At 37.8% G+C, this 19,137-nt stretch overlaps 1 protein-coding gene across 3 annotated transcripts in view, besides 1 other annotated feature; it reads left to right on the top strand.

Moving 5' to 3' along the window:
- NME7 (NME/NM23 family member 7) overlaps window positions 1-19,137 on the top strand; it is a 235,267-nt gene that overhangs the window by 191,537 nt on the left and 24,593 nt on the right. For all 3 annotated transcript variants that reach the window (NR_104229.2, NM_197972.3, NM_013330.5), the window contains one exon: window positions 6,707-6,814. Coding sequence is in view for 2 of the 3 variants with exons in the window: in NM_197972.3 (NP_932076.1) it covers window positions 6,707-6,814 (108 nt within the window). In the remaining variant the exon portion in view is untranslated. The remainder of the gene's footprint in view (window positions 1-6,706; window positions 6,815-19,137) is intronic.
- Window positions 14,217-14,476: an enhancer, noted in NCBI's record as "active region_2070". NCBI's record gives its function as "activates an Ori minimal core promoter by ATAC-STARR-seq in GM12878 lymphoblastoid cells {active_cell/tissue: GM12878}" and the evidence as "EXISTENCE:reporter gene assay evidence [ECO:0000049][PMID:35858748]".

Below are 19,137 nucleotides of genomic sequence, written 5' to 3'. Positions count from 1 at the left end.
CTTAGACTTAGCAGAAAGTAGCCTCTGGGTCTCTCCCTGGCTTCCTTTTCTACTTCCAATTCCTTCCCCATCTTTCATTATCTCATTTTAGTTTGAATTCATCTGACATTGCTTATCTCCCAGGAATATAAAACTGCATAACTGTATTAGTACAAAGTTGCATACTACTGGGAAAAGCTGTTTGATGGGTCAGTTTTGGTAAGATATTTTTGAAGTGCCGGAGGAGTCAAGAGAGCACTTAGCATGTGCTGTTTAGTATTACAAGACTTGTTGCAGAAGAATACTAGTAATGGATAGAAATGAAAATATTTGCTGTTTTAGTTATAGTGGTCCCCTCACTGGCATTTGATATTAAGTTTTATTACCCTCATTGCCTGTGAAAGGAGGACAATGATTGTAACATTGTTTCACAGCTGTTTTAGGGTTACTAGGACTTGAGCTATACTAGCTCCTCTTTTAATGTTTATCCATATATGTATATCACTGCTAACATAGTTATCCTGTAGTCCAGAGAATATTTTTTTCCTTGTACTTAGATTTTCCTGGAATTAGACTAGTGACCTCGTGATAAACCACCATATGCTACTCATTACAGTCATGCACTGCATAACAATATTTCCATCAACACCTGACTGCATATAGGATGCTGATCCCATAAGATTATAATGGAGCTGAAAAATTGCTGTTGTGAGATAGTCACACAATGCATTACTCACGTGTTTGTGGTGATGTTGGCATAAATAAACCTACTGTGCTGCCACTTGTATTAAAGTATACTACATAAAATTATGTATAGTACATAATACTTGATAATGATAATAAATGACTATGTTACTGGTTTACATATTTACTATACTTTTTATCGTTGTTTTAGAGTATACTTTTTCTACTTATTAGAAAAAAAGTTAACTGTAAAAGAGCCTGAGGCAGGTCCTTCAGGAGGTATTCCAGAACAAGGCATTTTATCAGAGGAGATGACAGCTCTATGTGTGTTATTGTCCCTAAAGACCTTCCAGTGGGACAAGATATGGAGGTGGAAGACAGTGATTTTGATGATTCTGACCCTGCATAAGCCTAGGCTAATGCATGTGTTTGTGTCTTCCTTTTTAACAGAAAGGTTTCAAAAGAAAAAAAACTTAAAAAATAGAAAAAGCTTATAGAATAATGATGTAAAGAAAGAAAAGATTTTTGTACAGCTGTACAATGTGTTTGTGTTTTAAGCTGTGTTATTACAAAAGAGTCAAAAAAAGTTAAAAAATACTTAGAAGTTTATAAAGTGAAATAGTTACAGTAAGCTAAGGTTAATTTACTATTGAAGAAATAAAAATATTTTTATAAATTTAGTGTAGCCCAAGTGTACAGTGTTTTATAAAGTCTGCAGTAGTATACAGTAATGTCCTAGGCCCTCACACTCACTCACCACTCACTCACGGACTCACCTAGAGCAACTGCTAGTCCTACAAGCTCCATTCATGGTAAGTGCCCTCTATAGGTCTACATCATTTTTTACCATATTTTTACTGTACCTTTTCTGTTTAGATATGTGTAGATACACAAATATTTATCATTGTGTTACAGTTGCCTACAATATTCAGTATAGCAACATGCTATACAAGTTTATAGCCTAGTAGCAAATTATATAGCCTAGATGTGTAGTAGGCTATATCATCTAGGTTTGTGTAAGTACACTCTATGATGTTCACACAATGAGGAAATCACCTAATGATGCATTTCTTAGACTATATCTCTGTTGTTAAGCAATGCATGACTGTATCTGAATATATTCTACAGTTGATCTTTTTCTGTAATTAGTAAATTTCATAAATCTTTTTCTAGTTTAATTTGTTTCTTAAATAGAAGGGCATTTTCAATTCTTACATATCTCTTCTGTGTTGTGGAGAACTGAAACTGAGTGGCTTTATTATGGAAGTAAGTTATTCTTTGTCCAGACATATTTTATCAATCTGATAGACCTATTCAATAAACAGTGACATTCTTTACAATAACACAGCCATAGAATAATTAAATAAATATTCCCTTCTTTATTTTCAGTATTTTGCCAATCACTATTCTATATTTGGTGCATTTTTTTGATATCTTAGATTTAGAAGTCATTCTATAAGTCAGAATTCTTCCTCCCACAGCAGGATTACCTGAGCAGAATTTTTAGTACTTATGATGAGCTGTAACATAGCCAAGAATTTGACTTGATGGGACTCAGCATGCAAGGTTTTAGGGGAGGATGAATATGCCTGGAATTTTGTGGAATTTGAAAGACTGCTGACCCTCCAAGTACAAATAAGTATCGCTCTTTAATGAGTCTGATTTTCTCAGCATAACCTGTTATTTATAAATACTGCAATAACTTTTTAAGAATTATTTATGGTATTAGATGAAATTATATGTTGGTACTTTGTGTTGCTTTTATGATCTCATAATTGCTTCTGCTCCTTGAAGGGAGGGGAACTATGCGTGGTAGTATGGTCTTCACCAGAGTTTAAGCAGCAAGAGGAATGTAAATCTGTTAGAAAAAATTAGGGACAATCCATCAGGAAATGGAGGGGGGAAGTGCTGTTATTATTTCACTCTCACTTTTAGTATTTTTTAATATTTTTGTATTTTTTAGTATTTCAATATTTTTTACTTTATAAGCATATGTGATATTTTATACTAATCAAAACTAAAATTAATTTATCAATACCTTTTTTAAAGAGGATCTAACATGAAAGCCTAGATTTTAAGAGCAGATATGAAGAAAATACCTATTGTTTTATATCTTTAAGTTTCATTGTTATCATTTACCTAAATAAAACATTTTATATCAGTAAAAATACTTCATGTTTTCTGAGGTTTATTAATGGATAATAATAGGTCATAATTAGCTTATGATCTAATCTAAACTTATACCTTTATTCTAAAACTATGACGATTACAACTCTTAAGAGATGTTATATATTTATTTAAAGATAATATAATATTTGGTTAGATTATCTTTGATATTTGTCAAAACATACCTTTCTGTCTCTTTAAGAATTGTCTTAATCTCCTTAAGACAGATTCTATTTTATCCTTGTCTTACAAATAAGAACATTAAAGCAGGCATAGAGAGGTTAAATAATGTGGTGTGGTCACACAACTGTTAAGTGGCAGAGGCAAAATTCAAATCCAGAGAGCCTTTTTCCACAGCCCCCACCCTTATTTGCTACTCCATCCTGACACTCTGAATAGAAGTACTGTCATTTTATATCAGTCAACAAATATTTACCAAACATTTACTGTGTGTTCATTAGTAAGATACAGAATATAAGGGAAGTTTTATATTGTGTTCAGGGATTGAAATCTAATGGGATCTTACTAAAATAGGCTCACAAAACAACTATATAAATTGCAAGTCAAGAAGGCCTATATTGGAAGTGTAAACTACTGTAGGAACATTGAAGAAGCAAGGATTACTCTGATTGGGAAGGCTTAATTTGCTTTTATAGAGGAAACAGTGTTTTCACTGGGATGTGTAAGCTTTCAAGGCAGGTGTGAGTGAGGTAGATTTAGGCAAGAATGGGGAGGACCTTGAATGCCACACTGGGGAGTTTAGACATTTGGCCATAGGCAATTATGAGCCTTCAAAGATTTTTTGAGCAAGTAAATAACATGATCGTATTGGCATTTAGGTACAAAATTATAGCAGCATGAAAAATGAACTAAAGATGGTTTGTTGTGTTGGAGAAATAGAGAATGTCAGTAAGATGAAGTGTCATGAAGATGGCAGAAGACCATATGTGCCCATCATCCCCTTGCTTACCAAGTCCTTACAGGAATTTACAGGAGATACTGTTTCACTGTGTGTTGTTTTAAAGAGTAAATCTCCAGTGATGCTGGAAAACAAGGAAGAGTACACACATACACATACACACACACACACACACACACACACACACACGTATGTTTTTGTTTTTGTGGGTTTGTTTTTTTTTTGTTTTTTTTTAGTTTTGTTACAGGCCATAAACTTCAAAAGACTCAAAGCAGATAGGATTGTATCGTTGAGGAAAACCAACACTCTAAAACGTGCAGGAGAGAACTGCTCCAGAAGGGGTAGGGGTACTGGGTGGGCTGCACATCAGACATATGGATGCAAGGCTGAGGAAGGGCATGGGGCCTTAAGCAGGGTGGTTAGTTGGAGGGCTGCATGAAGAGCAGCAGAGTAAATCAGCGCCTTCACATTTGCTTGCTTACATTGAGCAGAAGGCAGTTGATACTTTTAGCCACAGCCTAAGGCACTGAATGTGGGGCTTGAGCTAAAGAGGCAGAGCAATGGGAAGGCAGCTAATAACACTCAGGAAAAATGGTAGCACCCCCTTCTGAAAGGAAGGCAACCAGAATACCTCATCTAGCAGCATGTCCCTGGCATCTATGACAAGCAAATAGAGAACTCATAAAAAAAAAGAAAAAAAAAAAAACAGCCAGGAATTACCAACCATTTTTGTTGTTGTTGTTGTTTTTGAGATGGAATCTCGCTCTTTCACCCAGGCTGGAGTGCAGTGGCGTGATCTCGGCTCACTGCAACCTCCGCACCGCCGGGTTCAAGCCATTCTTCTGCCTCAGCCCCCCAAGTAGCTGAGACTACAGGTGCGTGCCACCATGCCCTGCTAATTTTTGTATTTTTAGTAGAAACAGGGTTTCACCATGTTGATCAGGCTGGTCTCTAACTCCTGACCTCAGGTGATCCACCCGCCTCGGCCTCCCAAAGTGCTGGGATTACAGGCATGATCCACCGCGCTAGGCCAACACACATGAACCTCTTCAGATTTCAAGTGCTGTGCATGTAGCAGACACTTATATGAAAGTAATCTTTTAATGAATGTAGTGCAAGTTAAATAAAATTTTCTTTTTTTGAGACAGGGTCCTACTCTGTCTGACAACCCAGGCTGGAGTGCAGTGGTGTCATTTTGGCTCACTGCAGCCTCGACCTCACAGGCTCAAGCCATCCTCCCACACAGCCTCCCAAGTAGCTGGGACTACAGGCGTGCACCACTACACCTGGCTAATTTTTGTATTTTTTGTAGCAACGGGGTCTCTCTGTGTTGCCAAGGCTGCTCTCAAACTCCTCCCAAAGTGCCGATTATAGGTATGAGCCTGGCCATCAAACAAAATTTGATAGAGAATAGGTTCTAATAAAACAGTTTACTGGAACTGAGTAATTTAAAAGTGTTTTTTTCCCTGACCGGAAATAAGAAAAAGAACGTTAGTACTCACTTTTCACAATTTCATAAATTACATCTTATGTCACAAAATGACAGCTTCCCACTATATAAGCAGAGTAAGGCTTCTGCTTGTTTTCTGAGATGGAGTCTGATCTGTCGTCCAGGCTGGAGTGCAATGCACAGTCTCGGCTCACTGCAACCTCCATCTCCCAGGTTCAGGTGATTCTCCTGCCTGAGCCTCCTAAATATCTGGTATTACAGGCACGCACCACCATGCCCAGCTAATTTTTGTAGAGACAGGGTTTCACCATGTTGAGACAGGGCTTCACCATGTTAGCCAGGCTGGTCTCGAACTCCTGACCACAAATGATTCACTCACCTCTACCTCTGAAAGTGTTGGGATTACAGGTGTGGGCCACCACGCGCAGCTGAGTAGGTTTTTAATATTGGATACTTACTTGCTAGAAAAATTACGGAGAACAGAATGAAAGTAATAAATATGAAATAAAATATAAAGACATCCTTATTTTCTACTTTATCAAAATGTTTTTCCTAAACATAATACATTTATAGCTGACATTTGATGGAACCCTGGCAAATAAAACTTAAGTAATTAAATAAATGCATGTCTTTAAAACATCCTTAAGTGATGGAACCACAAATGTGAGTGCTGCTCAGAATCTTTGCACCCTAAGCTACACCTGTCATGATTCTTTCTGATTTCCACTTTCATAGAGGTGACCCACTTACGACCTTGGCCTCTCAATCTGTTGTTCTTCTTTCTTCTAACATTCTTGCCCTCAGACTAACCTTATCCATGGTTATGCCTTAAAACTGATCATTATCAATCACTATAGCCCCCTCTCCTCCCACCCACAGTAATCTCAGTCTCGAGTATCTTTTAACTTTCCAGCTCTCTTCTTCTAACATACAGATCTCAATAATTATCCCATACCACTAGGAGCTCAAATTCATTGATCCACCTTTTCATTGTCAATTACCTCTTTATCCCCTAGGTCCTCTCTTCCTGTCTTTCTCAATTTAAATTTTTTTGTACATCATTATCATTCCCTTGCCTCTCTCTAACCCTCATTAAATTCAGGGCTATTTGTGACCATATTTTTTCTCTTAAAGATGAACTACCATTAAGTTGATACAGCTAACATTTTTTTAAAAGCTTTTGAAATCAATAGCATCAAATTGGTTCATTTTAAATCAAAGTTGTTAAGATCTCTACTGTCTTTATAAAATACAAGTCTTTCACAGTAATGAACTAGCTTCACATTTTGTGTGATTCCCATAATCTATTGATAAAAAGAAATGCAATTATTATTTTTCCCCGATGTAGATGAAAGCAGACTTTACATTGGGCCACAGAAAAACCCTTATAAGCACTGTCTATATATAACATGTATTTCATAAATAAGTTAGCGTTTCATATAGCTAGTGTTTTTCTTATTTATACCATATGACTAACATTAATCTATATGTGAATGTATGTTTAATAGGAAATTGCCCGGCATTTACGCCCTGGAACTCTCAGAGCAATCTTTGGTAAAACTAAGATCCAGAATGCTGTTCACTGTACTGATCTGCCAGAGGATGGCCTATTAGAGGTAAGATAAAGAAGGTAAACATCCTATTTATATTTCAAGCTCATAAATTATCTCAGGAGTTCTGATGTGTAAGAAAACTTTTTGTTTTATTGTTATACTTCAAGTTCTAGGTTACATGTGCAGAGAGTGCAGTTTTGTTACATAGGTATACACGTGCCCTGGTGGTTTGTTGCACCCATCAACCCATCACCTACATTAGGTATTTCTCCTAATGTTATCCCTCCCCTATCCCCCCCACCCCCTGACAAGTCCTGGTATGTGATGTTCCCCTTGGATGACTCTGTTACTTGGCCATCTGATGATTTTGGACTGCAACTTTGAAAGACCAAATTGTAGCATGCTGCATAGCTTTCAAAGAATTTAGATATTTTTTTCTGGTTGGCATACATTTTGATTTTAAAATAATTAAATTCTGTGAAATTTGTTTTTATATCAGGTGACTATACCATCACCATAAATTGCTAGTCATGAAAATACATACAGTTGACCCTTGAACAATGTTTGAACTGTGCTGGTCCACTTATATATTCATTTGTTCAATAAATATATTAGAAAGTTTGGAGATTTGTGACAATTTGAAAAAACTCTTGGGTGAACTTTGTAGCCTAGAAATATCAAAAAAATAGAAAAAAATGTGTATTATGAGTGCATAACATATATATAGATACTAGTCTATTTATGTGTTAATCGACTTTTTGTTATCGATGAAGCTCCCGGTCAACAGCATTAGTAGTTAAGCTTTTGGGGAATCAAAAGTTATATGTAGATTTTTCCACTGTGCAGGGGATAGGTACCCCATACCTCCACACTGTTTAAGGGTCAACTGTTTTCCAATGAAATTAAGAAGTCTAGCCAGGCTCAGTGGCATGCACCTGGAGTCCCAGCAACTTGGGAGGCTTAAGTGGGAGGATTGCTTGAAGCCAGGAGTTCAAGGCCACAGTATGCTATGATTGCATTTGTGAATAGCCCCTGAACTCCACCCTGGACATCATAGCGAGACTTTGCCTCCAAAAAAGGCGGGGAAGGAGTCTAATATACAGTGTGATAGTGTTACCCATGGCAAATTCATATGGGTCTGCAGCAACCTCAGTATCTGCCTCTTCAGAAGAAAGAATTCAACTGAGGAAGCATAAGGCAGAAGGAGAGACTGAGGCAAGTTTTAGAGCAGGAGTGAAAGTTTACTTAAAAGCTTTAGAGCAGGAACAAAAGAAAGGAAAGTACACTTGGAAGAGGGCCAAGCAGGTGACTTGAAAGACAAGTGTATGGCTTGACCTTTTGACTTGAGGTTTTTATATGATGGCATACCTCCAGGGTCTTGCACTACTTCTGACCACTTGCCCAACTCCTGAGATCTTATTGAGAAGCCGCTCGTCACCAGTTTTAGGTGTTTTCTATCTACTAGGAGACCGCCGTTCCCTGGCGCCAGCTGTGACCAATTATTACTTCAGAGAGACAGTTAACAACCACCTGACCATCACCTGATGGTCTCCCAACACTCCTGGTGTGAGGTATGGGAGCCCTTTCCTGCCCTGCTCATACCCGACTAGCTACCAAGTATAACAATAGCACTCAAAGTGATAGCTAACATTTTGGTCACCTTTATTAACCAGATTCTACCATGACACATGTGTTGTATAAATGATTTCTTTTCATTGCCATAGCAACTCCAATAGGCTGGTATTCATTATATCTGTTTTTTTAGGAAACTGAAATTGAGACTCAGAGAGGTTAAGTAACATCCCCAAACCAGACAGCTAATATGAAACAAAGCCATATTTGATCTCTCATCTTTTAAATTAACATAAAATATGAAATGAAAAATTCTGAGAAAATATAAGTGAAAATGGGTCCAGTTTAGGGTTAAGAAAGTTATTTCTAGGCCAAAATCCAAGAAGGAAACTGTAAATAAATATTTTATTTTTTTAACTTCTTATAGATTTTAAAATTTTTGTGTCAAAATAAGCTAAATGAAATTTAAAAAGAAATAATAAATTTAAGTGATTAAATGAAGAAAAATGGTTGATATCCTTAATACACATTTATTTTAATGAGTATTATGTTTTATGTGATCAAATCTATTAGTCTTTTAAAAAAAAATTATGTCCTGGAAGTTGTACATAGAAAAGCCTTCCCCAAATATTTTGTTTTCATTTTCATACATTGAAATGTTCAATCCACCTGGAATTTATTAGACATATAGTGTGAGGTATGGATTTAGCCAGCTATCACAATATTATTAATAATAAACAATTTATTTTATTTAAATGGCTAAATCCATCCATCCTTTCATTGTTCTTTCTCATTTATTGAATACTTATATACATCCTTGCCTGTTTCTGAACTTCCTATTTTATTCCATTGATCTGTACCAGCAAAATACTGTTTTTATTATTGTAGGTTATTTATACTTTACAAAAGTGTTCTTGGTTAGTCCCTAAAATGTATTCCTCCAAATGAACTTTTTATTTATTTATTGAGAGGGAGTCTCACTCTGTCGCCCAGGCTGTAGTGCAGTGGCACAATCTCGGCTCACTGCAACCTCCGCCTCCTGAGTTCAAGCATTTCTCCAGCCTCAGCCTCCTGCATAGCTGGGATTACAGGTGCATGCCACCATGCCCAGCTAATTTTTTGTATTTCTAGTAGAGATGAAGTTTCACCATGTTGGCCAGGCTGTCTCCTGACCTCAGGTGATCCACCCACCTCAGCCTCGAAAAGTTCTGGGATTACAGGCATGAGCCACCACGCCTGGCCAACCTCCGAATGAACTTTAAATGACTTTTTACCGAGGTCTTTACTCCACCCCTACAAAATGCAAGTGGGACTTTCAGTGACATTACAATATGTTTATAAATTATATGGAAATGTCATATCTGTAATAGTGAGTTTCTCCAACTTCATATGTGGTATGCCTCTCCTTTTATGCAAGCAGTAGAGTCACTTTTTTTCATATAGTTCTTAGTAATAGTCTATTAAATTTATCACCATAAGTTTCTTTGTTGTTGTTATAGAAAATGACTTTGTTAGCTCCATTAAGATTTTCTGTTATAATCCAAGATATTTGTAAAACCTTATCTATTATGCATCTTTGTATGAAATTTAGACATACTTGTGAAATGTAAAAATGTACCAAGCTTTATTTTTTAATAACCAAAAAGATTAAATGTTTATTTTAAATTTTAACTTATTTTATAAATAAATATTTCCTCACTTTCTGATAGCTTGGACCTATCAACTAGGTTTGAATAGAGACTTTTATTTAATGAGACTGAAATGTTATTAACCATGAAATTTATACCCATTAAAAATATTATCCAAGAGGGCCTGAGGGGAAAAAAAGGAAAAAGTATTATCTAAGGTATGCCTATGATTTTGTTCATATTGTTTGAAATAGATTATTACTGCCTGTAGTTTGCAAAGCCATTTACTAAATGATTGCAATTTTTCTGATCTAACTTCACTGGAGATTTCAGTGTACATTAATGACTGTGTGGTTTAGAGAATTAATCAAAAATCAGAAGTTAGAGCATCAGTAGCTTCCTCTTATATGGCTGATTATTTTCTTGATATGAACTTGAATAAGTCACATTTTCTTTCCATGCCTCACTTCTTTTATCAATAAAATGAAATAAAGAGTGCTGAGATAGTCAAGGATGCCCTTATCAATTAGCTACTTTCAGATTATTATTTGGCTTCAGATGATAAAATATTATGAAAATACATAAAGGCCAAATGAGGTATCTGGCTATAGGTCTTCAAAGTGAAAATCCGAGTGACACAAGACAAGTTGTCTGATCAGTGAGCACTTTGTTCCTAGGATCAGCTCTTCATTAGGGGGACATCCTTTAGATGCAGAGTGACCATAAAATTTATTGCCCAATTAAACACCCTTTGAAAGGCAGCTCTAATCAGAAAAGATGTTCGGACAAGAGGCATAAACCAGAACTGTCACACGCAAACTAGAATATATTGTTATCCTATTTATATGGCAAGAAGAGAAAGAGGGGAACATGCTACTTCTCTTTAATCTTTCCCTAATGTGATGTTTACTGAGCTATGTGTCATGGGTATAGAGCTCAGAAAGTATGGCTTCAGTTTATATTTTGTCATTATCCATTATTTTATTTATTTATTTATTTATTTATTTATTTTTATAGCAAACAATTATAGAACATGTTTTACTTGCTGGATTGTGATAGGATCAAACAATTCATTTCTACTGTTCTCCTAGAACTCATAGTAAGTTTGAGAGGTCAAAGATCTTAGCATGAATACAGAAATTTGTTTTCTTTGAATATTGCTAATTGTGACCCAGTCAATTTTGTGATTATAGGAATAAATTATGGTATTTATGAGACATTCTAGAATGTTCTGTCACTGTTAATGTTCTCTTATACTCTGCTGGTTGTAACTACAATGATCTTAAATTTGTGTGTTAAAGATAGCATTGATGGTAAAATGTTCAGCTGAGTAATCAAATACTAGTTTTCTATTAATGGCAAAGAACTTTTGAAGTAATAATGCCCACTGCTGGCAATGCTACAGTAAAGTAGATACCCTCATATAGCTGGTGACAACTATGGGCAAAACATATTGAAAGCCTTGGAATATTTCTATAACTTTTGTCCCAGAATTCTACTTCTTAGGATCTAAGCAAAGGAAGAGAGTGGCAGCAGGACTACAAAATGGAAAGTTATCTGCACAGATGTTCATGGAAGGAGTATTTGTGATCATTAACAATGGAAATAATACGCATGTTTACAGATACATCCCACCTTACCTCCTCTAAGAAACCTTCCATGGCACCCATAGTCTGCATCAGTCCGTATGTGTGTTTTCATAGCACTTTGCCTTCCTATACTATAGTGGTGTAGCCAAGTCAAAATAGCTCTGTACTCCTGGGCAAGTTACTCATCTCACTATGCGTAGGTTTCCTCACTCTGTAAAACGAAGATAACAGTACCTGCCCTATCAAATATCATTGTGCCTAGCAAATAGTAATTGCTCAACAAATGATAGTAGTTATTATTATTATTACTATTACAGCACAGTGTCTGTTTGCTCATGTGAGACTGTGAGTACACATAGTAGGGAAGAGATTTTTTCTTGCCTGGCATATAAAAGCTCTTCAATAAGTGATTTTTGAAAGAAAGGAAGGAAGAGTTTAGTTAAATAAATTGTATTTTTTGCACTCGGTGAAAAAGTATGTCACACTTTATAGAGAAGACTCTATAACAGTGTTTCCTAGCCTTGGTTGCACATCAGAATCACCTAGCCAGTTTTCTAAATACTGACGTCCAGACTCACCCCCAGAGATTCTAATTTTTTTTTTTTTTTTTTGAGACAGAGTCTCGCTCTGTTGCCCAGGCTGGAGTGCAGTGGTGCAGTCTCGACTCACTGCAACCTCTGCTTCCCGGGTTCAAGCTATTCTCCTGCCTCAGCCTCCCGAGTAGCTGGGACTACAGGTGCATGCCACCACGCCCAGCTAATTTTTTGTATTTTTAGTAGAGACAGGGTTTTGCCATGTTAGCCAGGATGGTCTTGATCGCCTGACCTTGTGATCTGCCCGCCTTGGCTTCCCAAAGTGCTGGGATTACAGATGTAAGCTACCACGCCTGGCCAAGATTCTAATTTTTTTAAACAACTTTAAACTTTTAGAAAAGTTGCAGGTACAGTACAATAAATTTTTTATGAACATTTGAGAGTAAGTCATCAACATTATGTGCATACTTCTGAATCCTTTAGTGTGTATTTTTAACATAAAAGGGCATTTTTTTTTACATAATCACATTACAAGCATCCAAATAAGGAAATCAACATTCATTTATTACTACCATCTAATCCTTAGACTCCACTCAGATTTCACCAATTGTCTCAATAAGGTTCTTTGCTAGCAAAAGGATCCAGGTCAGGACCATGCATTGCATTTAGTTTTCTCCTTAGTCTCTTTCAATCTGGATCAGTTTCTGAATTTTTCCTTGACTTTCATGACCTTAACACCTTTAAAGATAACAAGTAGAGATTCTAATTTAATTGATCCATTTATCCCTTTGCTCATCAGAAATTTTTCTAGATGGCTTCCACCTACAGTTCTAACAAGATACTGGCAAATTTATTTTGCTGTATGGCATACGTTACTCATACGAGATGTCATTTGTTGGCTCCCCCTTGTCTATGAAAATGAATGATGCCTTTGTGATGTTATGACTCAACCTCGTGTACGCCTCCCCTCTTCTCCACTTCAGTGTTAGTTGTCATCTCATGTCACCAGTGATACTTGTGAGAGGCAGTTTTACTTTCTCCTTGCTTCCTTCATCTTTCCCCAGGATTCGTTGAAAAACATCTTTGGGAATCATTGTTATGTGGGGAAAATAATATCTACTTCTTTGCCTTTCACTTTACCTTTAAACATGTGGTCTTTTCCAAGGACCTTCTTTTTCTGATTTTCTCTTACGGGAACAACCAAAACTTTGCATGTACTAAAATTGAGAACCTCAATGTTGCTGAATGGGTATATGGTAGAAAATTCAAGTATGTTCAAATTTTAATTCTGTATACCAAAATGATAGGTCAATCATTCATTTAGGTACTTTTATTATTATTATTATTTTGAGACAAGGTCTCACCCTGTCTCCTGGGCTGGATTGCAATGTCGTGATCATGGCTCACTGCAGCTTTCACCTCCTGGGCTCAAGCAATCCTCCTGCCTCAGCCTCCTGAGAGGCTAGGACTATAGGCTGTGTGACCATGCCCAAATAATTTTTTTTTTGTAAAGATGGGGTCTCATCGTGTTGCCCAGGCTGGTCTTGAACTCCTGGATTTGAGCAATTCTCCAGCCTTAGCCTCCCACCGTTTTGGGATTATAGGTGAGAGTCACCATGCCTGGCCTGTATTTATATTTTTTAAACATTAAAACACTTCACTGAGAACACAGCAGTAAACAGAATACATGTGGCTCTTATCTTCACAGAGCTTACCTTTCAGGAGACAGTTATGTATAGCAAATATTTTATAGGATGATGAAAACATAGGTCTTTCCTGTTTTTTTTTTTCTAAATGTTCTGTAACTTGGTGATACCACTTTTGTGATTATAAAATTTTAAGAAGCATATAAAATATTTAATTGTATGTATAAGTTTAATTGCCCAACGGGTTCTTCCTGCCCCCTGCACAGAGAAAATCAGTTCACCAAGACTGTGGTATTGAAGTTACCATTTTAATTGACAAGAGGCCGCCCACATAAGAGATGGAATTATTACTCAAATCAGTCTCCCCAAAGGATCAAAGGTTAAGGTTTTTATGGACAATTTGGTGGGCAAGGGCTAGGAAGTGTGTACTGCTGACTGACTGGGGATGAAATCATAGAGATGTAGAAAACGGTCCTCTTGTGCTGAGTCTACCTCTGGGTGGGGCCACAGGATCAGTTGAGTCATAAGTCAGGGTCAAGGTGAGGTCCATCGGTTGCCGGAATGCATATCTAAAAAAAACATCTCAAAAGACCAATCTTAGGTTTTACGATAGTGATGTTACCTATGGGATCAATTGGGGAGATCACAAATCTTGTGACCTCTGGACCACATGACCCCTGAGCAGTAAAGCATTATAGAACCTAGGTCTACATTTTAGCAGCATTCAGGCCCCTCCCATAATATTAATATTGTGGCTTTTCATTAGTTTTACAAAGACAGTTTTCAGTTCCCTAGCCAGGAAGGGGTTAGTTCTTGTTTTCAGGTTAAACTATAGACTAAGTTCCTCTCATGGTGAGCTTGGCTGACACCCAGGAATGAGTGAAGACAGCCAGTCTGTGAGGCCAGAAGCAAGATGGAGTCAGCTATGCTAGACTCCTCTCACTGTCATAATCTTTGCAAAGTCAGTTTCATAAGTAGTTGATCAAATCTGAATTTGGATACATAATTACTTCTGCATGGATTCTTATTCTGGTACACTCTGGGGGAAAAAATAGTGAATCAAGGATTAATCAGAAATAAACATAGGTGCATGGTGACTAAGATGATTGGACAGGCCCCAATTTCTTGGCCGTGATTAACGCAGGCCTCTGCACATACTGACACTCATAATTTATCTTTAGTTTTAGCTTCTATCTTGAAAGAAGAAGAGTTGTGATTTTTAGTAGTACATTGTCAAAGAGGGAACAACTTGTACAAATACAAAAGCAAACAGCTTTCTCTTAGAGATCTAAAAATAGTGCAGTAAGACTGGGGCTTTGACCAGGAGGTAGAAAATGGCAAGAGATAAAGCTGGAAACATCAGCAGGGGCCTCGTAAAGTCATATTAAGACAACTGAACTTCATCTTGAGGCCATTAGGGATCCAAATAAATGTTTTACTCAGGGGAATAGCACAATGATACCTGTGTTATAGAGGTCACTCTGGCTGCAGTATAGAGAACAGATGAAAGGGCCCTGGGGTCAGGCAGGGAAACAAGTGGGTGGAGTCTAGGGGGACAGAGACTAGGTAGAAGTCTATTAAGTAATTCAGGAGAAAATTCTGGTTTCCTGAATTGCTATGGCAGAAGGGATAGCCAGAAGCAGTGAGCTTCAAAAGACATTTAGTGGGGTAGAACAGAAAGCCTCAGAGACTAATTGGATGTGAAAGGTAGCCTGTGGGAATGAATCCAGATTAATGCCTATCCCCAAGCAAACGTGATAGTACCATCTTTATCTGTGTTACCAAAATCTAATAATCTAAAAATGTCTGAAAACCAAAGTTTTTTCATAAGTTTAATGGTAAAACCTAACCTGTCTTATATCAAGTTGTGTATCATTAAACAGTTTTGTTTCAGTAGCTTGACAAAACATTTAATGTATATCATTTTTATTTAACCTATTTAGTGTGACTCTTCACACTGCTGTAAAAATATTAATGTATTTGATGATGAGTGACTTCCCAGACCCCTTGGAGTATTATATAATATATACTATATATTCCAGATTATTATTGTAAATTCCAAAACATCTAGTACCAGGAGTCTTGAATAAGAGATAGTAGACAAAGTTTGAAGTGGCCATGGAGAAAGTGCTGATGACAGAATATATATTTATGGGTTGTATTTACAATTCAGTTGATTTAGGAGATTACATGTATTATGGTGTTATTATTTTCTGGTGAACAGTTTGGCCCAGGGGTGAGGTTTTTACAGGAGGGTACGATGAGGAAAGATAATTGAGGATGTTAGCAACTATAGTTGAAGTTATAAACAAGGAAAGATGTGATGGCAGGAGGTGCTTGAAGAAAGGGATAAAGTAGATGGGCCAAGGGACCGAATGCTTTTCTAAGGTACCTACAGAGACCCCAGGAATAACAGGGAAAGAGCTGTGTCACTGTACACTTCAGAAGTGGAGCTTTCCATGGTAATGGATGATATGATTCAGGGTGTGGCCATGGAAGGAGGTAGCCAGTGTGGAGTGGAGATCAGTATCAGTCACTAGAGATATGTAAGTCTAGGAACTGAGAGAAGCTTTCATGTTGAGTGGCATTGAAATCACCTAGGATCATGGTTAGGAGGTAGGGTGGAGAAGAAAATGGTGACTCAAATTCTGAAGTCTTTCACAAACTAGGGAAGTTTGTGAACCAAAGGTGTGACAGCAACAAGGAGAAAAGATCTAGCCAGATGGCATAAGCCTCAAAAAGTCAGGAGTTCATATATAAGGGGAGGAGGTCTTAAAGTAGCACTGGGACAAAGGATAGAACTACTCCTACCCTCCTGGCCAGAGATTCTTATCCTGCGGACTCCAAGGAATTGATGCCCTTAGGGGATATCCAAGTTTCATTTAAGGCTAAGAGGCCTATGAAGAGATTCAAGTTTCAAGGGAGTTTACAATGGCACTGAAGTTCTGCAGAAAGCAATAGGAATAGTTAGAGATTGGGGAAGGGAAGAAGAATCTCAGAGCCATGTGAGAATAGCAGGATCGGAGAAAAGAGGTGAATATAATGGCCTCCATGTTGGTGGGTTGGGGTGTGACAAATTAATAATTAATTTTCTGGTCACTAGTAAATAGAGACCTTAAAATCATCTTTAAAAATGAGAACTTTTATTTTTCCGCCCCATAATTTGAGATCTGAAGGTAGGCATGTGGGACTGGTATGGCAACTCCGTAATACCATCAGTCACCCAGTCTCCTCCTCCTTGGTACCGTCATCATCTTTAGTATGTGCTTTTTGCCTTGTTGCCACAGAATGGTTGTCAGAACTCGAGTTATCACTTCTTTTTTCCAGGCATAAAGAAAGAAGAGTGAGGGCAAAAGGCGAAGAATGCCAGCTGAGCTAACACTTCCTCCCTCGCCCACCTTTAAGCTTTTCCAAAAACCAGAGCCCTCACCCAACAGCTTCAGGTTATGATTTTTGTTGTTGCTGGGATTTAGTACTGTGGCCGCCCCTTTTTAGAAAGGAAGTGAGTAAATGTAGTTCTGTTACTTGGGAACATTGCTCCCACTAGCAAAAATCAAGATACTGTTAGAAGGAAGAAAGGGAGAATGAATGTTGGAAAGGTAAAAAGCAGTATCTTCTCCAGGTGGTCAAGAGGCATTTAGCTAGTAAACAGGCTTCCAATGGAACTGGCCCTAGCTAATCCCTAGTGCAGTGGTTCTTATGTGTCCTCCCCTGCTCCAGAACAGCTGCATCACCTGAGAACTTAGGGGAAATGAAATTCTCGGGGTCCACTGTAGGCCAGCTGCTTAGCAACTCGGGGATTTGACCCAGGAATCTGTGCTTTAACAAGCCCTCCAGGTGCTTCTGATGCCCATGAAATTTGAGAACTACCGTCCTAGTGCAGCGGTTCCCAATCAATGGCATGCATTAAAATCACCTATAGAGTTTTTTTTAACTATGTAAGCCTAGAGCCCTATTATAGAAGATTCTGGTTAAGGAGGTCTGGTATGAGCTCCTTATATCTATAGAGTAGAGCCCCGTTATTCATGGTTTCACTTTCCACAGCTTCAGTTACCCATGGTCAACCATGGCCCAAAAATATAAAATGGAAAATTCCAGAAATAAACAATTTATAAGTTTTAAATTGTATGGTACCTTAAAGAGCAGGGTTGCAAAAATTAAAAAATAAAAAGTTTTAAATTGTATGCCGTTCTGAGTAGTATGAGGAAATATTACAGTATATTGTTATAATTATGCTATTTTATTGTTAATCTCTTACTGTGCCTAATTTATAAATTAAACTTTATCTCTCATACATATGGAAAAACGTAGTATAGATAGAGTTCGGTACTATCCACAGTTTCAGGCATCCACTGGGGGAACTGGAACATATTCCCCACTTATAAGGGGGCACTACTGTATTTTATGTTGCAGGTGATTCTGATATTCTGATATGGCTGATAGTTAAACTAGCATTTAGAAACCACTGTCCCAGTGAGTAGGGGCACACCAGACTTTTTTAAAACTTGTAAAAGAACCTATCAACATAGTAAACAGACAACCTATCGAATGGGAGAAAATTTGGGCAAACTGTGCATCTCACAAAGGTCTAATATCCAGCACTTATACAAAACTTAAACAAATTTACCAAAAAGATAAAAAACCTCCATCAAAAAGGACATGAACAGACACTTCTCAAAAGAAGACATACACCAGACTTCTTCGAAGTCGGCTTTGGTTCTGCTTTTGAGGAAAGCCTAGACCCTGTGAGAAGGCCAGCAAAGGGATTGTTTTGCTTTCAGGACTTAACTGACAGTTGGAAGCAGCAGCAGCCTCTTAACTTTGAAAGGATCAATAGCCTCTCTAGATGGATTTAATTGTAGCCAAGGGTTGTTACACTTCCAACGGAACTCCAGTCTCTGAATGGGGGAATCTGTGGCTTCTGTGGAAGGAGCCAGCCATGACCTGATTGATTACCCAGATTTTTTGGGGGGAAGTCTCAATGTGAAGGCTGCCATTTGCCCTCCCAGGGAGGAGGAGAGGCCTGAGATATGTGGTATGCATGTATTGCATGGATGCTGAGGGTAACAAGGGCAGAGGCCCTGGGTTTCTTGCAGCTTAAAATAGTTATCTGCAGGTTCATCAAATCTGCACTCACCATTTGGCATGGTCATGTGGCTCAGAGGTGTACAGGGGACCAACTCTTGTCATTCTCCCTGTGGGTTGTGTAAGTGCCTTGAGGACCTGGGCTTATAAGGGACTTTTGTATCTCCAGCTGCTAACATATTGCAGGCTTTTAGTCTGTTGAGTAAATGCATGTGGGAATATATCATGAATGGGGACAGTGCACCTCCATACCCTCTCTCTCTTTATGTGGCGGAAATGTCTCAATGACCTGATGAGAGTGAGCCCCACTTTCAAGTACCACATCTCACCATT

This window comes from Homo sapiens, chromosome 1 (assembly GCF_000001405.40).
Source record: "Homo sapiens chromosome 1, GRCh38.p14 Primary Assembly".
NCBI lineage: Eukaryota > Metazoa > Chordata > Mammalia > Primates > Hominidae > Homo > Homo sapiens.
The sequence above is the reverse complement of the archived record's forward strand: the minus strand, read 5'-3'. Positions and strand labels throughout refer to the sequence as shown.